This window comes from Homo sapiens, chromosome 15 (assembly GCF_000001405.40).
Source record: "Homo sapiens chromosome 15, GRCh38.p14 Primary Assembly".
Classification (NCBI taxonomy): Eukaryota; Metazoa; Chordata; class Mammalia; order Primates; family Hominidae; genus Homo; species Homo sapiens.
Genome location: NC_000015.10, coordinates 35,176,884 through 35,199,188, shown reverse-complemented (window position 1 = coordinate 35,199,188; position 22,305 = coordinate 35,176,884). Strand labels below are relative to the sequence as shown.

The following is a 22,305-nucleotide window of genomic DNA, read 5'->3' as shown; positions in this document are numbered from 1 at the left end:
GTAATCCCAGCACTTCGGGAGGCTGAAGTGGGTGGATCACCTGAGGTCAGAAGTTAGCCTAGCCAACATGGTAAAACCCCATCTCTCCTAAAAATACAAAAATTAGCTGGGCATTGTGGCGGGCGCCTGTAGTCCCAGCTACTCGGGAGGCTAAGGCAGGAGAATTGCTTCAACCTGGGAGGTGGAGGTTGGAGTGAGCTGAGATTGCGCCATTGCACTCCAGCCTGGGCAACAAAAGTGAATGAAACTCCATCTCTAAAAAAAAAAAGAAGAAGACAACAAATTATTTTTTAAATGATTCCTGTACTTAAAAGTATTTGAAGTGTTACTATTTATAGGAATGCATTTATACTTTTATAATCACATCCTGGCTGTACTTATAGTAAGACGCTACCTATATTCATCTTGTAAGAATCACTTTTGATCAAGCAACTTTCTTGCATGATGATTTTTCAGATAAAGACTTTTGGGCCTGTTACACTATTACTTTCAAAACATATGAAGATACACCTTTGGTGTCTTTTAAGAAAAACTTAGTACATTTCATATTTGTTCACCAGTTGAAATTGCTTTTAAAGGAAAGAATAGCCAGATTGCTTTCCAAGATGAATAGTACTGTCTTACACTTGACTCGAAGAGTAGAATAAATGAATAATTTTGTATGCAAGTTTCTTGGTTTACTTACAACTTTCTGCTAAGACTCCAGAGACCTTTAAGCAAGGATTCCACCAATTACATTTGTTGTCTGTATGTGTATATATTTTTTCCAGAAAGCATATGTTAGTAGGGCTATTAAGCAATTAGCTTCATGCATATAGATAGTTCATTTTGCACCAAACCATATGATGTGATTGGAATTTATAGAAAACCATCTTTCTTGCCAGAAATTGAGGCAAGTTAATTCTCTAGTTTGGAGAAGTATGGTCTTATGACTGCAATCTGTAGCCTTAAAAATTAGAAGCCTAGTATTCTTTATTTGATAGCTTAGAAAAAAAATGAATAAAATATAAAAGTTTTGTTTTTATTAAATGGAAAAATTAGAAAAAAAAAACAACTAGAGTACCTGGATCATATTGCATACTCACTAAATGTTTGTTAAATTGCAATAAAATAAAGCCAGCAGGGCTTGAGATTAGTTTTGCTTGTTGTTTTTCTTTTTTTTATATAAAATATGTGCCATGAGGTCTTATGTCCTAGTCACATTTGGCTCTGAGCATTCTAGTCGTCTATGCAAAAAGGGAAATGCAACCAGTGACAAAATCTGTAATGTCCATGAGATAAAAACAAACTGGCTGCTCAGTAGAAGCCCAGCTATTCCTAGGGACTTAATAACTGTTTCCAGAATGAAAGTATGGTGCTGAAATCTCAGAAAAAAATTCCCCTGTTTGCATTTTAAGGAGGGCACTTGACTCTTCACTCAGAGCATTATGTGGCTATTTCTCAGACCAATGCCCAAGAGTAGTTCAGGAAAACTGCTTTTATGGGGGTGAAACAAAACAACTGCCTGATGATGTGACTTAATTCAAAAAACTTTCTGAAATACCTAGAAACCCTAAAGCAATAGATAGAGTGTATTTCAGGCATGTATACATATTCCATGTGTAAAATAAGATTCATTGCCACCCTTTGAAGCTCTAGTTGCACTTTACAAAAGAAGTGTGTTACTGTCTTGTCTCATTTTTATAGCACTCATATCCCTGGCCACAGCCATTAATCAGATTTTTTTTTCTCTTTTGGGGAGGCAGGGGATTATACTAAAAAGCCATGGAATGTCTACTACAAGATGTAAAATTCTACATGATTGGCCTTTTGTAAATATTAAGCAAAACTAGTAAATCAAGATGATCATATTAACATATTTTAACAGAAATATCCATATGAAAGGCAATGTTGACATTCTTTATGAAAGCTGCTTTTTCCCTTTACTGCTGCCATTTTTATTGTAGATTTCCCTGTTCAGCACTTAGTTCCAATTTTTTAAATGATCCATTTCAACAGTAGACAGCAATATTCTTCCAGTCATACGAGTTTTTGGTTTCATTTTATTACATTAAAGATTACAAAGCTCTACTGTGAATTTGTGTGCTAACATACCTTGTATTTTACAGGACTGTGTTCAAAGAATTATTATGATTGGGTCTAGAATTCTTTGTTTGGGTCTTTGAAGTGAAAGTCCAATGCAATTTAACCCTCAGTAGTAACTAAGCTATAAGTTCATTGCATATTTCAAAAAAATTAAAAGCATGAAAATAATATATAATTTATTCAAGAATCCCAAAAATTGTTGGATTTAAAAAGGTATCCATTTAAACATGGTAATAGTTTTGAGTAACAATCACTTTACTTGAATATAGTTTCCCAGAACTCTGCTTATAACTTGGTTGCTTGGAGTTATAAATTAAAGTCCATTCAGTGGATACTTATGTGCCAATGCTATCCCCACCCTGAAGGAACTTTCTTGCTGGTGGTGTGGAAAAAAAGACAAGGACACAAATAACTTGGCAAACCTCTTTTCAACACATTGTCAAGTGCCTTATAAAGCAAGCTCAAATGTGGCAGAAAGCCACCATCAAATTTCAGAATCAAAGAATTCATAAATTGTTACAAGTTTATTCTGTGGATCAACTACCCAGAATTTGCTAAGTTTGCACTCGTACCTTACGCTCAAGCCTTTGTCATCTCTTCTCCCAGCATACTTACCACACAGCCCGCCTCCTCCCACAAAACAGCTGAGGCAGGAAGCAGAGTTCCAGCTAGTGGGTAGTCCGAACTCTACTGGCTTTAACGTCTGTATCCTCATCATTAAGCTTAGCATCTCTATCAAGGATTTCCTAGTTCTTAAATAAATGATTATTATTGATTTAAAAAATGACAAGTTGCCAAAGTTTTAGGGATTTTTTATCTCTTCACTAAAAGTGGCAGATTTTCTGCCACAACCTATTTTCACTAGTGATCATTTTATCTTATATTCTAATTAGCATAGCACAATGTTATCATTAATACCTGAGAACTGTTTTCTACTATTTTACGTTAAATTTCATGTTTGCGTTTGGAGAGCAGTTTGCCTTTTTCCAGTGGATCCCATTATAAACATGACTGAGTACCCTATTTTACTAAATGAGGAATACCTCATTTTATCAAGACTTGCATTTCTCTTCTGGTCTCACAGTTTAAATATATACCATCTACTACAGTACCCTATCTGTGACCCTCCAACCAGCCCACACTTGTAAGTTCTTTTGTCTCTCCCTGGCTCTCTCAGAGCCAAATTCCCATGGAAGCTGAAATTCCCGTAGATAGCTACAGAAGGGACAAGGATCAACCAGTAGGTGGGGATCTCTGTGGGAGCCACTGGCAGCACCCAGGAGGTAGGGCTTTAGGGGGATGACTACCTTCGGCATCAACCAGTCAGAGCAGAGCAGGGTCCTGGAAACTCATTATTAACCTTTTAGTTGCTACACGGATGGGTCTTGGGTGTGAAGGCAGCATGGCCAGGGCACTTTTACCAACCTGGAGGATAGTTTTTAAATACTTTAATTGTCTGTGGAGCCTTACCTGTAAATACTAGCTGAGTATCAGACCTGCTCACAACCCCTCCTAAGAAGCTGGATCTATAGACTTAAGGCAGTGTATGAAGGTAAATCGGCATTTTAACCTGCCATCTATGAGTTCTCTGGTCTCCCAGGCTTGAATCTGACCTGCTTTAAATATGGATTCAATGCTTGCAAGACCTCTGGTATCTTTTCACCCAAAGTTTTGACTTTTTCCTTCTAAGCCTCAGTTTCCTCTTTTATAAAATGGTTATATTAATCACTAGTAAGTGCTTCTTATTTGCAATAGCCAAAATAGGGAATCAACCTCAGTGTCCATCAGTGGATGAATGAATAAAGAAAATGTGCTATATGTACACAATGGACTATTATTTGGCTATAAAAAAATGAAATCCTGTCATTCGTAGCCACATGGATGGAACTGAAGGTCATTGTGTTAAGTAAAAAAAGCCAGGCACAGAAAGACAAATATTGCATGTTCTCACTCATATGCCAGAACTAAAAAAATGGATTCCCTGAGGATAGACAGTAGATTGGTGGTTACCAGAGGCCAGGAAGGGTGTGGAGAAAGGGGTGGATAAAGAGAGGTTAATTAATGGGTACAAATAAACACTTAGATAGAATGAAACCTGGTGTTCAATAGGTCAATAGGGTGACTATAGTTAACAATAACTAATTGTACAATTCAAAATAGCTAAAAGAAAATAATTCAAATGCTCCTAGCATAAAGAAAATATTTAAGGTAATTTATATCCCAATTATTCTGATTTGTCTATATGAATGTATTAAATTATCACATTTCCCTGAAAATGTATACATCTAATATGAATCAATAAAAAGTTGTTTTAAGTAATGCTTCAACATACTGTTGCTGTGAGATTTAAATGAGATAATATAAGTGAAACCCATAGTACAATGCCTTTGATGTAGTTAGTACTAGCCATTACTCACTTTTCGTGGGATCTGCAATCAATAGATTTTAAAATCCTGTATGTAGTTACATAGCTGATTTGAAATATTCGACTACAGAAGCACATGCTGTGCATTGTGTTAAAACAAAAAGATGACCAGAAAAATAGGTTATTATTAAGTATGAGACATTTTCTTGCTTTCAGACACTGTAGAGCTATTGTGTGCTCTGATGACTCAAAGAAGCCTGGGGTTTCAAGGGCTGATGTCAGCTAGTGGCTTCTGGGCTTTTACTTCTAATGAGGAAGGGGTATTCTCTCTCTCTCTCTCTATCTCTCTCTCTCTCTCTCTCTCTCTCTGGAAAAAGGAAGACTCTCTGTCAAGCTTCAGGTCTCCCTGTATTCATATATTATCTTTTCCTTTGACTTTTGCTCAAAACTGTGGAATAGAGCATATCTTTAAAGCACCGATGTCAGGAAACCCCAGGCTCTTTCCTTTCTGGGCAACATAAATGAGAAAACGGTCACAAAAGATATGGAACCTTAGGAGGAAATAAATAAAAATGAATCCTAGAGGGCAGCATTAAAAAGTGTATAGAAAAACTCTGTTAACAAGTAAATGAGTATTTTTAACAAGGTTTTCTTGTCATCTTCTTTGACTGGCATCAGAGTTTTCATTTGAATCATGTTATATTAGGTGCTCTGAGCAAAAGTCAATTATAATTTAGATTACTGATGAAAGCTAAACATCAGAATAAGAGTTAGAAGGAAGCACTGTGGCATACCATTTTCTGAGAGCTTGTTTGAACCATGTCTATTTGTTTCCTTTTCCCCCTTGGTGGGTATCATTTTCACAATATGCTTTATTGTGTTCTGTCTTCCCTTCTTGAAAGTCCTGTTCACAAATGGTTGTCATTGTCTCAGTCACATATTGGTTTAGTATTGACTAATTATTTAACCTTTCTTGATATTTTCTTCATCATCCATGACATGGAATAAATTCTCCTGATACATTTCAAAGCCCCTGTGCTAATTCTCTAGCTGTGATTTCCGAACCAAGACTGTTTGTAGTAATCTAAGTCTAAAATATCTTCATCTGAGAAATACATATATAATTGTGGTCCTTCTTGAAAGGGACCTTATTGAAAACACTTTCTCCCTGTTCTTTCTATGCAACTACCTTTATCGCTGCCAGTGAACAACTGCCATGAGCATCTAGATTAATAAGTGACAGTCAAAAATAAGATGGAGAGAAAAATGTGAGGCTGAATTTATATATGAGAAATTATTAAATAATAATTATAGAAGTTAATCTAAATATTATCTACATATTATTAATTTATCGAAATATTATTAATTCATCTTTAAGTTTGGATGTCTGTTGATAAGATTTTCTTTGCTAAATGAAAAACTCCCATTCTTTTTTGTAAAGTTGACAATCAAATCCAGATTTAGTTAATGTCCCTCTCTCTCTGCCTTTGCATTGTTCTTAAAAGGGGGAAATCTGAAAAAAAAAATTAATTTTGATGTTGTTATTTCCCATACACATTTCAGTATTCAGATATTAATTTTAGAGATTATAAGCATATTTTCTCAACACACATTATATTTACTCTTAGTATTCATATTAATTTTGAGATGGAAAATAAGAATTTAGTATTATAAATGTGTGAGGCATTCTCTTTGATCTATTAGAACTTTGAATATAATTCATTGTAGCACATATCATTCTGAGTTACAAGCATTAGTTTATATCTCTGTCTCCTCCTCACTTCCACATCTTTCCTTTCCTTCCCTTCCAAGATTGGCAGTTTCTAGAAAGCAACAACCTTGTCTGCCTTATGTTCATTCCTTATCATCACATAGGTTCTTGGCATGATGCCCTGGCAAATAGTGAGGGCTCAATAAATGTAGTAGAAATAAATAAATGAATGTTGTTGATGTTATAGATGCATACAAATTGTATGGTGTTACTATAAATTTTCAAATTCAATATTCTCACCAAATAATATTGATTCATTACCTATATCTTATTTTACACCGTGAAGTAACAAAGAATCCTATAAAGATCAGTGCTCAAGCTTAATCCCAAATTATTGATTCCAAATAACTTGGATTAATACTCAAGCTTAATCCCAAATTATATGGCTCCATCCTGTGAAGCAAGAAGGATGTGGTTACTGAAGGCCTTTCCTAAAGCTTAGAGCATTGTTCACACATGAAGGAAATGATGAGTAAACATTAATGTAACTTTAAATGGGGGAAAAATAGAGCTATTCTGCCTTCAAGCTGGACTACCACCTACAAAAAGGCAAGTTAGGGTCAAAGGATAAGGTAGAATAAAGGAAGAACTAATATTTGTGCTCTCTACTTTGTACCAGCTACAGTGCCAGGAACTTTACGTGTTGCTTTCTATCGTTTTCATAACAGCACTAGGAGTTAGGTACTATTATTCCCTTCTATTACTGAGAAAACAGGTTTCTCAGAGCTGTCAAGTAGGAGTCCTAGGATTTAAAGTGAAACTATACAAACCCATTATTTTGCACTACAATAAAAAACATGATCATGTTTAACCCTGTCTTAAATACTTTCTGGAATAAGTCAGGGCATACATCAATTATGTAAATGATTCCTACCAGCTTTATCAGAGATCACAACCATCGTGTTACTGAAATGCCAAGGGTTTGGTCTAGGTCCTGTTGCTTGCTGCACAGAAAGCCAATCACTGAGACAACAAGTATTGCCAGGGAAGAAGGCTTTATTCAGGTGCTGCAGTTGAGGAGCACAGGAGTTAAGTCTCAAATCTGACTCTCAACCGAATAAAATTGGGAGGTTTATGTAGTAGGAGTAGAGACATAGCTACATGTAGGAAGGAATTAGGGAGAGGTAAGGAAGCAATCATGATAAATGAGGACTCTGGTATCTCATTACTGAGATTGTCTGAATGTGGTGATCTGGTGAGTTTCAGTCAATTGTCTGAGGGTTGTTTTTCTCAGGAAGGAACTCAGACAAGACAAATATAAGTTTCAAGTTTTAGGATTGGGAGAGTCAACTTCTATGTCTATTCAAAAAACAGTAACTATCATTTTTATTGGACAATTGCATTGGTTTTAATCTCAGCAGTGGGGAGAGTGTCAGGAAGGGCTTCATAGGGGAAAGGTGCAGACTTTGACTTGAGATAAACTTTGGTTCGTATCCCTGTTCTGCCTCTTAGTCATCCTGAGCAAGTTACTTAAGCATGCTAGTCTTTGATTATATCATTTGTGAAATGGAGATGTTCATAGGCTTTTCAAATGACAAGCATGATATCTGAAACAGAGAAGGTCTCCAAAAATGATGGTTGCTTGAATCACCATTTGAGTAGAATGATGCTTCATTCTTCTTTCCGAAGATGCTACTTAAAGGACATGGTCATGAAAGCAGAACAGATAAGAACAGAAAGATAAGACTATTGTCTCAGGGAGGGCTTAGTTGATTTTATGACAAGAGGGATATACCTCGAAGTATGTGTCAGTTTGATGTAAAATGCCTTTGACACACAATGAAATGTGGCATGTTACATTGAATCTATATTTCTGTTTGTTGTTTGCTTCATTAAACAATGATTGATGGTACATCTTGAAATTCATCAAAATTTAGAACAAACTATTAAAAGAAAGATTGTTGGGGTTTAGAAAATGATACCCTAAAGGTATGGCAATTTGGCATGCTGAGCACTTCCTTAAATAGGAAGGCCTCAGAAGCTACCTCAGAATCAAAACCTTTCTGACCTGTCTTGTCTCTCCCCACACCCCACTGCAAGGTGAAATTTTAGTCTGATTGAAAACACCTTTGCAAAAATGATAACCAAGAAAATAATTACAGTGAAAGAGATCTGACCTAACTGACTCCATCTTGTTTCTATCCTCCAAGTTGTCCTTGTTCATTCCAGGGCAAAAGCCGAACTAACTTTGGGAGGAATTTAGTTTACAGTTTAACTTTGAAACTAAGATGATAACTGTCTTTGCCCAAAATAAACCCCCTTCTTGCCTGGGGATCAGTCTGCCTTTGTAGTAGCAACAATTTAGCTACAAGACTGGAAGTTATGGTTAAGGAGTCATGCAGCCAGAGGCTGCAAGATTCTGAAACACCCTAAACTGCTCTTGGGGATAACATCACTGTTGTAGAACTTAAGATCACTTTGAAGACCCTGCGTTCCAATGCACCAGCAGACACCACCTGGACCAGCAATCTGCCTCAGCCAGTTCGGCAATCCCACTTAGTAACAGGAGTCATCAAGAATAACCCACTTCAGCTCCCTATGATCTCATCTCTGACCCAACCAATCAACACTCCCCACTTTCAGACCCCTACCCACCAACTTATCCTTAAAAACCCCTGGGGAGACTGATTTGAGTAATAATAAAACTCCGGTCTTCCGAAGAGCTGGCTCTGCGTGAATTAAACTCCTTTGCTATTGCAAGTCCTCTGTCTTGATAAATCGGCTCTGTCTAGGCAGCGGGCAAGGAGAACCCACTGGACAGTTACATAATCTTCCCTTATCTGCCTTAAGACCAGAACTGCCAAAGGGAGCACAGTTGCCTTCCATATCCCCCCTGAAATTTTATTCCAGTACTGCCAAAGGAAACACAATTGCCTTCCATATCCTCCCTGAAATTTTATTCCAGCACTGCCAAAGGGAACATAATTGCCTTCCGTATCTTCCCTGAAATTTTATTATCTATTACAGAAAAGAAGACAGAAATGTAACCACACCTGGACAAACTTTGTTACAAGATGTTGTCTGTCTCTTGGGTTTCTTCAAATTCCAGAGAATCATTTACAAGACAATGTCTGCTTCCTAAGTCCATTCATTTCCCCTGGAAATCATTTACTACTCCTACTCCTCTAAAATTGCCTGCAGCCCCCGGTAAAAAGGATATTTAAGTCTCAACCATCCGCCCCTTCTTTTTTTATATTTTGTATGGCTCCTGCAAAACATGAATAAATTTGTCGTGGCTTTTCTTTCATTAATCTGTCTATAGCCAATTTATTTCAGAAGACTTAGACTCTAACATTCAGAGGGAAAGTTTGAACTTCCCTACAATTACAAAGGTGCCTTCAAAGAATTTGCAAACATAATGTAGTGTAAATTATAACCAATGCCTAATAAATGCAATGGAGAAGTGAAAACAGGGAGAGAGAATTTCAGGTTTAGATGATAATTCCAGGTTTGGATTTTCCAGGGTCTTAAATCATATAATGGATTTTACAAGGCAAAAATAAAAGGTGAAGGTGGATTATATTTGAGGAGGACTCTCTGGTATGGAGTTTGCATTGGAAAAATGTAGCAGGAGAAAGGGTAGAGAGATTGAGGCAAGGCAGAAAGCATGTAATGGAAGCCTAAGAACTTAAAAGCAAATAATCTGACAAGTTACCTATTTGGTTTGCTTTAAATTGGATAATTTTATCTTCCAGAAGCTAAAGGAATGTGAGAAAAATAGGGTAAAGGACACCAAGAGACATACCTTTGTGGTACAAACATGAGAATGGTGATAGAAAAACTCACTTGTAGCATAAAGCTATTTAATAATGTCAAGTCATTAAATGCAACTTTTGAAGTAAGAATTAGAACAAAGAAGTGATCATCTCGTTGCTTAGGAAACATACTCTGAAGTTAAAAGAAAGAGCATCACCGTTCACTTCCTATTCAGCTTCTATCTTTTACAGCCATGATGATGGTCTTCAAACTCGAAATAATGACACTAATAACAATAGTACTTTGCTATTTTCATCAGGCTTTTAATGCTTCAAATACCAGGGCAATAGTTCTTCTAAAATCAGGGTGAACAGAAATCATGAATTTTTTTTTTTTTGAGGCACTCTATCACCCAGGCTGGAGTGTAGTGGCCAGTCACAGCTCACTGCAATCTCTATCTCCTGGGCTCAAGTGATCCTCCCACCTCAGCCTCCTGAGTAGCTGGGACTTCACGTTTGAACCACTGTTAGCAGTGGAATGTATCTGAGTCATGTGTCACCAAAGTATTTTAGCAGTGGTGGATCCATACAGGTCTGCAGCAACCTCAATTCTTGCCTCCTCAGGAGAAAGAATTCGACTGAGGGACAGAAGGCAGAAGGAGAGACCAAGGCAAGTTTTAGAGCATGAGTGAAAGTTTATTAAAAAGCTGTAGAGCAGGAATGAAAGGAAGTCAAGTACATTTGGAAGAGGGCCACACTGACAACTTGAGAGATCAAGTGTACTGTTTGACCTCTGACTTGGGGTTTTATATGTCAGCATACTTCCAGGGTCTTGCATTCCTTCTGTCTTGATTCTTCCCTTGGGGTGGCCTGTCTGCATGCACAGTGGCCTACTAGCACTTGAGAAGTGAGCATGCACAGTGGGTTTACTGGAGTTGTACACATGCTCACTTGAGGCATTTTTCCCTTACCCGTCCAATGTTCCTAGAGGAAGCTCATCCACCATTTTGCCTCTTAGTGTGCATAGGTGAGCCCACTCAGCCAACTCCCGAGATCTTATGAGGAAGCTGATAATCACTAGTTTCAGATATTTCTCTCTATTGGGAGAGTGCCTTTCCCTGGCACTGTCTGTGACCAATTATTATTTTAGAGAGACAGTTAACAGCTGCCTGACCATCACCTGATGGTCATCTGACATTCCTAGTGCAGGGGGGATGCCCTCTCCTGCCCTGCTCATGTCTGACTAGCTACCTACTGTAGCAGCACCACATCTGGCCAATTTTTGTATTTTTTGTAGAGACAGAGTTTCATCATGTTGCCCAGGCTGGTCTTGAACTCCTGGACTCAAGTGATCTGCCTGCCTTAGCCTCCCAAAGTGCTGGGATTACAGGCATGAGCCACCTCACCTGGCCTGAGATGTTTGTGGGGGTTTTGCTTTTGTTTTTGTAAATTAGAAACAGGGTCTCTCTATGTTGGCAAGGCTGGTCTTGAACTTCTGGGCTCAATCAATCCTCCCACCTCAGCCTCCCGAAGTGTTGGGATTACAGGCATGAGCCATTGCAGCCAGCCTGAATTCTAATTCTAATTGGTAAAAATTAGGACTGTGCCCTTGCCATTCCCTTCTTTTAAACTTGTAATTCAATTACTTGGCATGACTGGTCCTTATATTATAAAATATACTAAATCAAAAATCATCATAATAAAAGCAGCTCCTTGAGCAACTGGACAAAAAAAGCAGCTGGGCATAAACACTAGTAAAGTTTAAACAATTGTATTTGGCAAGTATTCCCCAACGTATAAACAATTACCACTAAAAAAAATCTGTTCAGTTCATTTTGAGTAGTTATATTAATCCATTCAGCTATTACTGGTACATTTGCAACTCAACCTGGCTAAATCATTCAGAATAGAATCCTACTAAAAATTATACCATCATGAGATAGTATCCTGTAGTGGAAAGAGCACAGGCTTTAGACTAGGTTTATGTATCAGTTCCCAAATTATTAGGTATATGATTATAAAATGAGGATAATCATGCCCACTTGTCAGTTGTCATGATGATTCAATGTGATTATATATTCTGGGAAACTGATATTTATTGAGCACCTACCATGGGTCAGGTAGCCTAGTATTAAATCTTCTAGGCAACTTAATGAGGTAGATATTAAAAGCAGAGCCAGACTTTGAGCCCAGGTCTTACTTCAAATTTCATGTTCCTTCCACATTATGTAATAAGATGCCTGTCATGGTGCCTAACACAAAGCAGGCCCAAAGAAATACTTATTGAACTGAATGAACAGCTTGATTGTAATAGAAGTGATTAAATCATCATACTATTCTTTACATTTTTAAGCCAAAATTATCTTTTATTTCTATTTTTAATTTTTTGAGGAATCTTCATATTGTTTTCTATAGGGCTGCACCATTTTGCATTTCCACCAAAGGAAAAGGGGCCCCAGTTTCTCCACATCCTTGCCAACATGGTCAGAATGTTTTTAAAAACAATTCACTTTTGTAAAGCCTGTCCAAAATACTGAACTTGGATTTTACAGAAACAAATTGATTTTGTTTCACATTCATATTCCATAGGCTTGTGTAATACTTAATAGAAAATACATAACAACTGCAGCTAGCATATTCATGTTTGGAATAAAGACAATGGTGATCTGTAAATTCATAACTCAGCTGGTAGAAGCAGGGTGGTGGAAATTCCAGAGAAGAGCTAGCAGCCTAAATCATTCATCCTGCTGTGAGTATCAGTGAACGTGTTTACAGAGAGAGCAGGAGCTGAGGGGTACTTATGTGGAAATGAGTTAAGAGCCCTCTTACACCTTAAAACAAAAGGGTTGAAGGAGATGACCTCTGAATTCCCTTCAAGTTCACAGTAGGTTTTTGTGCTGGACTAAAAATCATAGAACTGGATTAGAAATTTAAAGATATCATCAGGATCCTATATTTAATAATCACTTAAAGGTTTTGAGTTCATAGATTTCACACCTTATGTACTGCCCCCTCCCCAGGTTTTCTTTGAAGATATAAAGGAGTTGCTACAGGCTTTCTTCCAATTTAGGAGGTTGCAACTGTATTTTAAAGATGATGCTCCTAAAATATGTTATAGTAGGGTATATGGCTAGGAAAGATCCAGAGACATGGTTCAAAGGCAAACTCTGCTTCCGACTGGTGAGCAAGATACACATTTCTGAAACTTTGTTTCCTTTGTATAAAATGAGTGGACTGGGGGCCGGGCGCAGTGGCTCACACCTGTAATCCCAGCATTTTGGGAGGCCGAGGCAAGCGGATCACGAGGTCAGGAGATCGAGACCATCCTGGCTAACACGGTGAAGCCCCATCTCTACTAAAAACACAAAAAAAATTAGCCGGGCGTGGTGGCGGGCGCCCGTAGTCCCAGCTACTTGGGAGGCTGAGGCAGGAGAATGGCGTGAACCCGGGAGGCAGAGCTTGCAGTGAGCCGATGAGCTGAGATCACGCCACTGTACTCCAGCCTGGGAGACAGACTCCGTATCAAAAAAAAAAAAAAAAAAAAAAAAGAGTGGATTGGACAGATGATGTTTATGACTTTGTCCAGTCTATAATTCTATGATTTCTAATACCTTCTACGCTCGAAAATTTTCGTGTGAAAATTGTCATTTATTTGGTAGCAGCTACTATCTGAAAGGTCCACTGCTATTTGCAACTCTACCTTCCAGACAGTAATCAGCCTGAAATTACTGAAAAACAACAACTCTGTTCCTTGTAGCTACATACCAGGCTGTTCTGTCACTTAATGTCATAGTCATCTACAGTTAATTCTATATTGCTGTAGGGTCTGCTTCAATAGTAATCTAAAGCACTTCTCTGTCCTCCCTATTTGGAAATGTCACATTTCAGAACACTATACTCCAGCTTGTTGAGTATCCTGCTATTGTCTCTTCCTCATACCTGATCAGTTAGCAAAATTGTGTTTTGATGACTACCCCTTCAATCCTGGTGGTCTGGCTGTTTTCAAGGACTTTGTAGTTATTACTCTTTTCTTGTCACTTGATACGCAGTTGGGATGGCAGGCAACCCAGATGAAATTATTCCAAAAGGTAGATATAATGTCAGTGGTTGTCCATGTTTTATGTACCTATAAAATACTAGAGAGCACTATTTTTTTAAGTCATTTGTTGTGGATTGAGTTTTTTTTTTCCCACATTGGAGCTGTATTTTTTGTCAATTTTTCTACATATATATCTTCACTTTCAATTCAAGTCTATTCTTCCTAGTCAATTTCTAATTAAACCTAAAAGCAGAATTCACAGGAAGTTTTCAGTGCCATAGTTCCAATGGAAAACTTTGGGAAAATCTTTAAAACCTCTGCTAGAGGTTGCTAAGGAAGTTCAGTTGTCTTTAGAACCATTGAAATTGCGTGGTAAAATGCTGACCCTACAAAATGACCCACTGACTTGTGTATACTTAAGGACACACAACAAGTCCTAGGTGATTATTACCATGACTTCCAATGTAACATATAACCTACTGAGTTTGAAAAATTAACCCAGGCTTCTAAGGGCATGCTCTAATTAGTATAAACCCTTGGAACCTAGTTGCATCTGAAGATAAACAAAAATGTTTGCTTCAGAGGAGACATGTCAGGAAACCCAGTTTTCCTCTTTTTACAATGGAAAATGGATCAAGGAATTCAAAGCAATCAATCAACCTTAGTATATAGGCCAACTTTTTTTTTTTAGGTCAACGTCTTCACTGTATAATGATCCTTTTGACCTTGCCATTTGAATTTTCATGAAATGGGAGAGTTAACCCCTACTTGGAGGTTTAGCTCTGCTACAGGCTTTGAGGCCAATCCTATTACTTTTCAGTGGGAGGATTATGAGTTTATTTTAGAAGCTCAGAATGCTCAGAATATGCATTCCCAGTCTCCCAGTAATTGCACTTCTAAGGAGTTTCTTTTTCTTTCTTTGAAGGATTTAGAGTAGCTTTCTTGGAACACTGTTAATGTCATTCTTCTAAAAGCATCCTGTCTATCAGACTTGGCTGAATGAAACCATCGCAAAACTGAATCTACAGAAACACAGTAAACAAACATATAGCATCAGCTTTGAAAGTAATTTACAGAGTTTTAAGAATAAGCAGATAAATTTATTGATTGTTACATTTACATCTGTTGCAGTCTGATTTGTTGGAAACTCCATGAATTGGATTTTATAGTCCATGTTCATTTTTCTGAATAAATTATGTCCTAGAAATCTGTCGTGGACATACGGTCTAGCAGGTGAATTCATACTGATGATCATCTCTCTAACAGTGTTTTCTAACATCTAAGTACTACTTTTAGCCCTAGAAAAGGATTTTAATGTTTAGAAAAGAACATTTTAATAAAGCCTTGCTAATATTGACATATATAGGCATCTTAACTTGATTGAAATTCTGTCTTCCCAAAGATGGTTCTATTTTAACATTGTATATGAAGGAAGAAATCCTAGCCTAATAATTTGAAATTATGTTTTTTATAACAGAATTCATTTGCTTTTATTTTAACATCATAATAAGTGTATCACTTTGATCCTTACACAGTATCTTTTATCTGTTGTGTAACAATCATGCTACTGAATGTTAGATATTACATGACATATGAAGGAAGTTTAACTTGAGCAGTTACTGAGTTCATCCAGACTTGAAGCCTCTGTTTGTCAAGAAGTTAATATTTTTAAAGATACACTGACTTTATAATCTGTAATTATTTTCTTATCAATTACATTTTTATAGTTTTCTGATTAGCTGGCACTTGGAGCTTAGTGTTACCGTTTAGCTCTGCAGGGTCCTTTTAGACACTATTATTGTAAAGAAACATCAAAAATCAAAGTGAATTCTTAGTATTATACTTGAAGCAGTAGAGGCGCAATTGCTGAAACAGCAGCCAAGCATTGTGCTGTAGAACTAACTCACAGCTTGGTGCCCAGTCCCTGCTGAGAAGGAAATGTAGGGGAACTGGCAGAGTTTTACTACATCTGCTCCCTGCTGCTAATGAGCTTTAACCTGTTTCATTCTTACTATGCTTACTGTTTAGATACTTTGCTTGCAAAATTAATTTTTTAGCTGAGAGAACACATGAAAGAGGATATGATTTGTAAAGTAGAGCTGTTTAAAAATTAAAAGGTATCAGCAAGGGAGATTAAAGGCTATGAGTGATATGGTTACTTAATATCAATTCAAGGGCAGAAGCTCAGGTGGTAAAGCTAGAGTTCTCAGTTTCAGTTCTTTCTGTAATGTGGGCTACAGCTCCAGGAGTTGTAGTCTTTGTTTTGCATTGTGCCATCTATACCAATATGCTTTATATTTATCAAAGAAGGGAAATAGTATTTTTTGCTTTGAAGGCTTCATTGATCCTCTGAATGGTGCCAAAGTTCTAGTGATATGCAGCCTCTAAAAACAAGCATGTTTCAGCAACATTATATTATTATAGCCAAGAAATAATGAGCTTCCTATACCCAATTTCTTGTAACCTATACCTGATCACCTACACAAAAACAAAACTGAAAGAGCAGATGAGATTATTTATTATCTGAGATTATTCACAATGAAATAATATCATTTGTATAGCCATAGAAGTTTGCTCTTTAACAATTGTCATACATTCCTTTGTTCCTCACTTCAACTTTCTAAAATAATCAGATAAGTATTGTTCATTTTGTAATGAAAATTTGCAAAGGCATGTTATATATCATAGCTGGATGAAAATTTTGTCGGTGGGTAAGTATGAAAAGTGTACATGCTATCGATGGGGAGTAGGAACATCACCTTTAGATTTGCAGAATAATCCTCACCATTATCATCATCACCCTTGTCAATAATAATTAAGCTCACAAACCTATCCCAGTTCTTCAATAGAAACTAAACGTATTAAATTTTCAGCCAGAATTGCACATTACTTTTGGTAATAATATAGTCTGAAACACTCTGCAAAGAAAGCAGTTTACTCTAGTATAGCATTTCTCAGGGTTTTTGGCCTTAAAAGTAAAAAAAAAAAAAAAAAAAAAAAAAAAAAAAAAAAATTCTTAGAGTTGTCCAGTTTTGATCAGCATTATTTTCTTATGTTATTATACTTATACATGTAAAACTGTAAAATTAGCCATGAATTCCTTTATCTATAGGTTTTATACAACTATACAACCAAAACAAATGTAAAGACTAAATAAAAACAAACCTACAAAACCAATACAACTATAATTAAAAGTATTACTTTATTGTGACACATGCTGTAATTATTTTTAGTAATTACATACATCTTTATTTAGAAAGACAATCATTTTACTAATCTTCTTTACAACATTGATTAATAAAGAAATATCATTAAACAAAGGTATATTATACATTTACTTCTACACACTGCTAATGAGCTACTGCTAATTAATACTTACAAAAATAGGTCTCATGATAATTCTCCTTACCAAGTAAGTGCTGACTCCTATAGTGTGACTTCTTTTCTGGTTGGTATAGCTAAGCTACAATATGTCATGAAATGACTCATTTCTTCCACTATTTCTCTCTATGTGAACTATTGTAAAACCTTTTGCTCAGCATGTCATCTTAACATTTGGCCTGTACTTGGGACAAGGGCATTGTTTATGTATTAAGTACACCTAAGCTCTATTTCTGATCATGTAAGACAGTTAAAGTAGTACATTACTCACTGCAATATTATTTCCTGATGTCAATCATAATCTCAATTGATTAAGTCAGGGAACTAAAGTCACATTCTATTAAACTATTAAAAGATAATTTTTTTTTTTTTACTAAAAAGCAGAGTTTTTTTTTATAACTGACAAGAGAATCTGAGGGCAAGAATAGTGAACACAGGGAGGATGGCTGCTATATTTAGTGCCTGCGTTTACATATGTTGGCACCAAATGAATACCTTAACTAAAACAAAGTGAAAAGTTTGCTGAAGCTTCCAGAGGGAGGCAAAGGAGAAAGAATGTTTAGGTGCTTGCTGGCACTAACACAAATGTAAACACAGGCATGAGTAATGTGACAATGCCCAAATATAAGGCAATCATCGAGACACATCTGTAAATACTACAAAATGTTATTATTATTTTAACTCTGAGATGGGAAATAGTCCTATCCCCATTTTACAAATGAGAAAATTGAAAAGTTAAGTGACTGCCCTAAGAGCTCAAAGCCAATTGGTGGTGGAACCATATTTTAAGCCTCAGTTGTCTGGCTAGTATCAGTGCCCTTAATCAGTGGGAGTAGTAACTGAGAGAACACTAATGTCAACACAGCTACATTCATTATTTGCTTAAATGCATATTTTTGTATTTTTATATTGCCTTTTTTAATGGAAAATAGATAAAAACAGAATTTTAAAAATTACTTTCAATGCCTATTTCACTTTGGCCATAAGAAATATATATTAAAATTGTTTACTAAAGTATTGATTTAAAAGGACAAGATATCACATTTTTTTCAAGAAAGTAAAGTAGGGCAGGCATGGTGGCTTATGCCTATAATCCCAGCACTTTGGGAGGCTGAGATGGGAGGATCTCTTGAGTCCAGGAGTTCAAGATCAGTCCACAGCCTGGGCAACATGATAAGATCCCTGTCTCTACAAAAGAAAGAAAGAAAAAAGAAAGTTAAAAAACTTATCTGGGCATGGTGGCACACACTTGTAGTTCCAGCCACTTGGGAGGCTGACGTGGGAGGATCGCTTGGGCCTAGGAGGTCAAGGCTGCAGTGAGCCATGATCGTGTGCCAGCCTGGGCAAGTAAGCAAAGTAGGCAAATACATCTTTTAATTAATTAGGCATTGTGGAACCCACTGGGCAAGTGTGTGTGTGTGTGTGTGTGTGTGTGTGTGTGTGTGTGTGTGTGTGTGTGTTTTAAAACCAACTGTCTTATTTCAAGGAGCAACCAAAACTGAAGGAAGGCTCTGATTTTCTTACATTTAGTGTAAATTAGTGCAATTACTATGTGAGGATATACATTGTTTTTCTCTACAATGCCATTTTTAATTAATTAATGAGTTTATTCACTTATTCATTTGACATCAATTTATTTTTTTAATCACTTTTTTTCAGAGTATAGTAATGTATATTCATGGCAGAAATTTGGAAAAATCTATTACAGTACAAACAGAGAAATGACAGTCACCTTCTCTCTCTATTTAAGCTAATGAATGTTTAATATTTTCATGCATATTCTTTCGTTAGATCATTAGATGGGATTGGGTCCCAGAGAGAGCCTTGCTTTTTGCCCCTGAATGCAAGTCAGCTCACCCCTCCTCAAAACAAATCTATCTTTACAAGTACAAGAGAAAAATGAAAATTTTGCTGACGTTTTCAGAAGGAGACAAAGGAGAAGAAATACAATACATACTACACAGCAAAACCGTAGAAAATCTCTATTAGACTTCTGTTCTTTGCCATGCATCTACTTCCTATTAAACACCAACTGCATCAACTCCTTAGTTTTGCAGCATAGAGCTGGTCTTGTCTCCCATCCTCTCATCTCATTCTCACAAGTATCACCCCATTCAGTAAACAAAGGGCCATCCTAGCATCCCCTGTCTTTACAAGCCAGCAGGGGCTTGCAAGAAACATATGTATTTTCTTCACAACAGGTAATATTTCCTGTCTCATTTCTATCTGTATGCACATATATGTGAATATAAGTGCACACATGTATTATGTATGTATTTAAAGGCTTCTAGTCTTTGAACCGCCTTTTCTCCCACATAATGTTTTATTTTTCCTTACAAGTAAATGTTCTTTAAATGAAAACATAGATTTTTATAGTTGAACAGTATTTTATTATGGAATATACTGTAATGTATTTGACTCTTTTTGGATATTTTCATTATTAACAATTTTTGCTATTATCTACATAAACATCCTATATATTTCCAATTATTTTCTTGTGGACATTTCCAATTATTTTCTTCTAATAAATTTCTAAACTTGAATTTTGGGGGATGAATTGAATAAGCATTTTAAAATTTGATGTAAATTGTCCTCCAGAAAAATGTTAACATAACATTTTTTTTCTTTTTTTTTTTTTTTTTTTTTTTGACAGAGTTGTGCTCTTGTTGCACAGGCTGGGGTGCAATGGCGCAATCTTGGCTCACCACAAACTCCACCTCCTGGGTTCAAACCGTTCTCCTGCCTCAGCCTCCTGAGTAGCTGGGATTACAGGCATGTGCCACCATGCCTGGCTAATTTTGTATTTTTAGTAGAGATGGGATTTCTCCATGTTGGTCAGGCTGGTCTCGAACTCCCAACCTCAGGTGATCCACCTGCTTTGGCCTTCCAAAGTGCTGAGATTACAAGTGTGAGCCACCGCATCCGGCCAGCATAACACATTTATTGAGCACTTATTGGGTACTAGGTACTATACTAGCTGGTTGGGGTACAAAAATATGTTGGATGTATTCTCTGTTATTCAAAAGCTTACAGTTGAGTATTTACTCTAATTAAATGGTAGGCCCCTGATACCTCTAAAAGGTATATTTGAATTTGCACTTAATGACAGTTGAGAAGCTTCTGGCTCTGACCATATATTTAATTTTTAATTACACATATCACACACAAAAATACTTTCTAATTCTTGAAGCCAACAAAAAAACTTCTGTATACAATATTTGCCAGGATATTAAACTGTTGGTATATTATATGGTTTGGCTGTGTCCTCTCCTAAATCTCATCTTGAATTGTTGCTCCCATAATTCCCATGTGTCATGGAGGGACCTGGTGGGAGGTAATTGAATCATGGGGGCGGGTCTTTCCCATGCTGTTCTTGTGACAGTGAATAAGTCTCACAAGATCTGATGGTTTTGTAAAGGAGAGTTCCTCTGAACATGCCCTCTCTTGCCTGCTGCCATGTAAGACATGACTTTGCTTCTCATTGCCTTCTGCCATGATTTTGAGGTGGATTGTGATAGATTCCCAGCTATGTGGAACTGTGAGTCAATTAAACCTCTTTCCTTTATAAATTACCCACTCTCAGGTATATCTTTGTTAGCAGTGTGAGAACAGACTAATACAGTATATGAAACCCAAAAAGTTATTTTTTGAAGAATTATTTGTGGAATAAAAGTTGTTTCAATTTAGTCTTGAAAAGGAAATATCTGTTTTGTTCACATAGATGTTATATAACAAAAATATTATTTTAAAACTTGTTTATGCCACAAAGAAATGATAAATGCATGAGGTGATGGTCCTGCTAAATACCCTGATCTGATCTTCATACAACATATATATGTATTGAAACATCAAATTATATCCCATAAATAGGTACAATTACAAAGTATCACATTATTATTATTTTTTTTTTGAGGCAGAGTTTTGCTCTTGTTGTCCAGGCTGGAGTGCAATGGCATCATCTCAGCTCACCACAACCTCTGCCTCCCAGGTTCAAGCAATTCTCCTGCCTCAGCCTCCCGAGTAGCTGGGATTACAGGCATGTGCCACCATGTCCAGCTAATTTTTTGTATTTTTAGTAGAGATGGGGGTTTCTCCATGTTGGTCAAGCTGGTCTCGAACTCCTGACCTCAGGTGATCTGCCCACCTTGGCCTCCCAAAGTGCTGGGATTAAAGGCTTGAGCCACCACACCCGGCCACAAAGTATCAGTTTTAAAAAATTGATGATGATGATGATGATGATGATGATGATGATTTTTTTTTTTTTTTTTTTTTGGAGATGGGATCTTTGTCATCCAGGGTGGAGTGCAAGTGCAATCATAGGTCACTGTAGCCTGAAACTCCTGAGTTTGAGCAATCCTCCCACCTCAGCCTCCTCAGTAGCTGGGACTACAAGTGGACACCATCATGCTCAGCTAATTTTTATTATTATTATTATTTTTGTAGAGAGGTGGGGTCTCACTGTGTTGCCCAGGCTGATCTCGAGCTCCTGGCCTCAAGTCATCCCCCTACCTCAGCCTCCCAAAGTGCTGAGATTACAGGCTGGAGCCACCGTGCATGGCCCAAATAAATTAGTTTTTTTTAAAACTTGGTTACAGTCAACATCTGCTAAATCCATGACTTTGAAGTCTCGGTAGAAATGTACTTAACACCTCTTTTCTCCATAAGTCTAGCCATAGTAAGCATTTACAGGCCATTTTCAGATTACCAGAATGCAAGGGATATGAGGAGAGGTTGGTGGAAATGGATTAACCTTGTGGGAAAGGCTGAATGACAGTTATTTATTTCCTAGTTTAGTGGAATAGTAGCATTCATTGGCAAATACAAATACAATCAATTCTATGAGTACAACTTTAAGCTAAGCAGTCTTCACCAACATCTTTAGATAGAATCAGATGCCGTACGCTGCTATTTCTAATCATATGTCTTAGAAATGCAGAGAATCATTAGTCTTTTTGATATTTCACATGTC

At 36.9% G+C, this 22,305-nt stretch overlaps 1 protein-coding gene across 1 annotated transcript in view, besides 1 other annotated feature; it reads left to right on the top strand.

Annotated features, from left to right (window-relative positions):
* DPH6 (diphthamine biosynthesis 6) overlaps nucleotides 1-22,305 on the top strand; it is a 401,189-nt gene that overhangs the window by 346,977 nt on the left and 31,907 nt on the right. The window lies entirely within an intron of this gene.
* Nucleotides 15,386-16,366: an enhancer, noted in NCBI's record as "OCT4-NANOG hESC enhancer chr15:35475024-35476004 (GRCh37/hg19 assembly coordinates)". NCBI's record gives its function as "activates a minimal SCP1, AML or CMV promoter by ChIP-STARR-seq in naive and primed H9 embryonic stem cells {active_cell/tissue: H9 hESC(naive and primed)}" and the evidence as "EXISTENCE:reporter gene assay evidence [ECO:0000049][PMID:30033119]".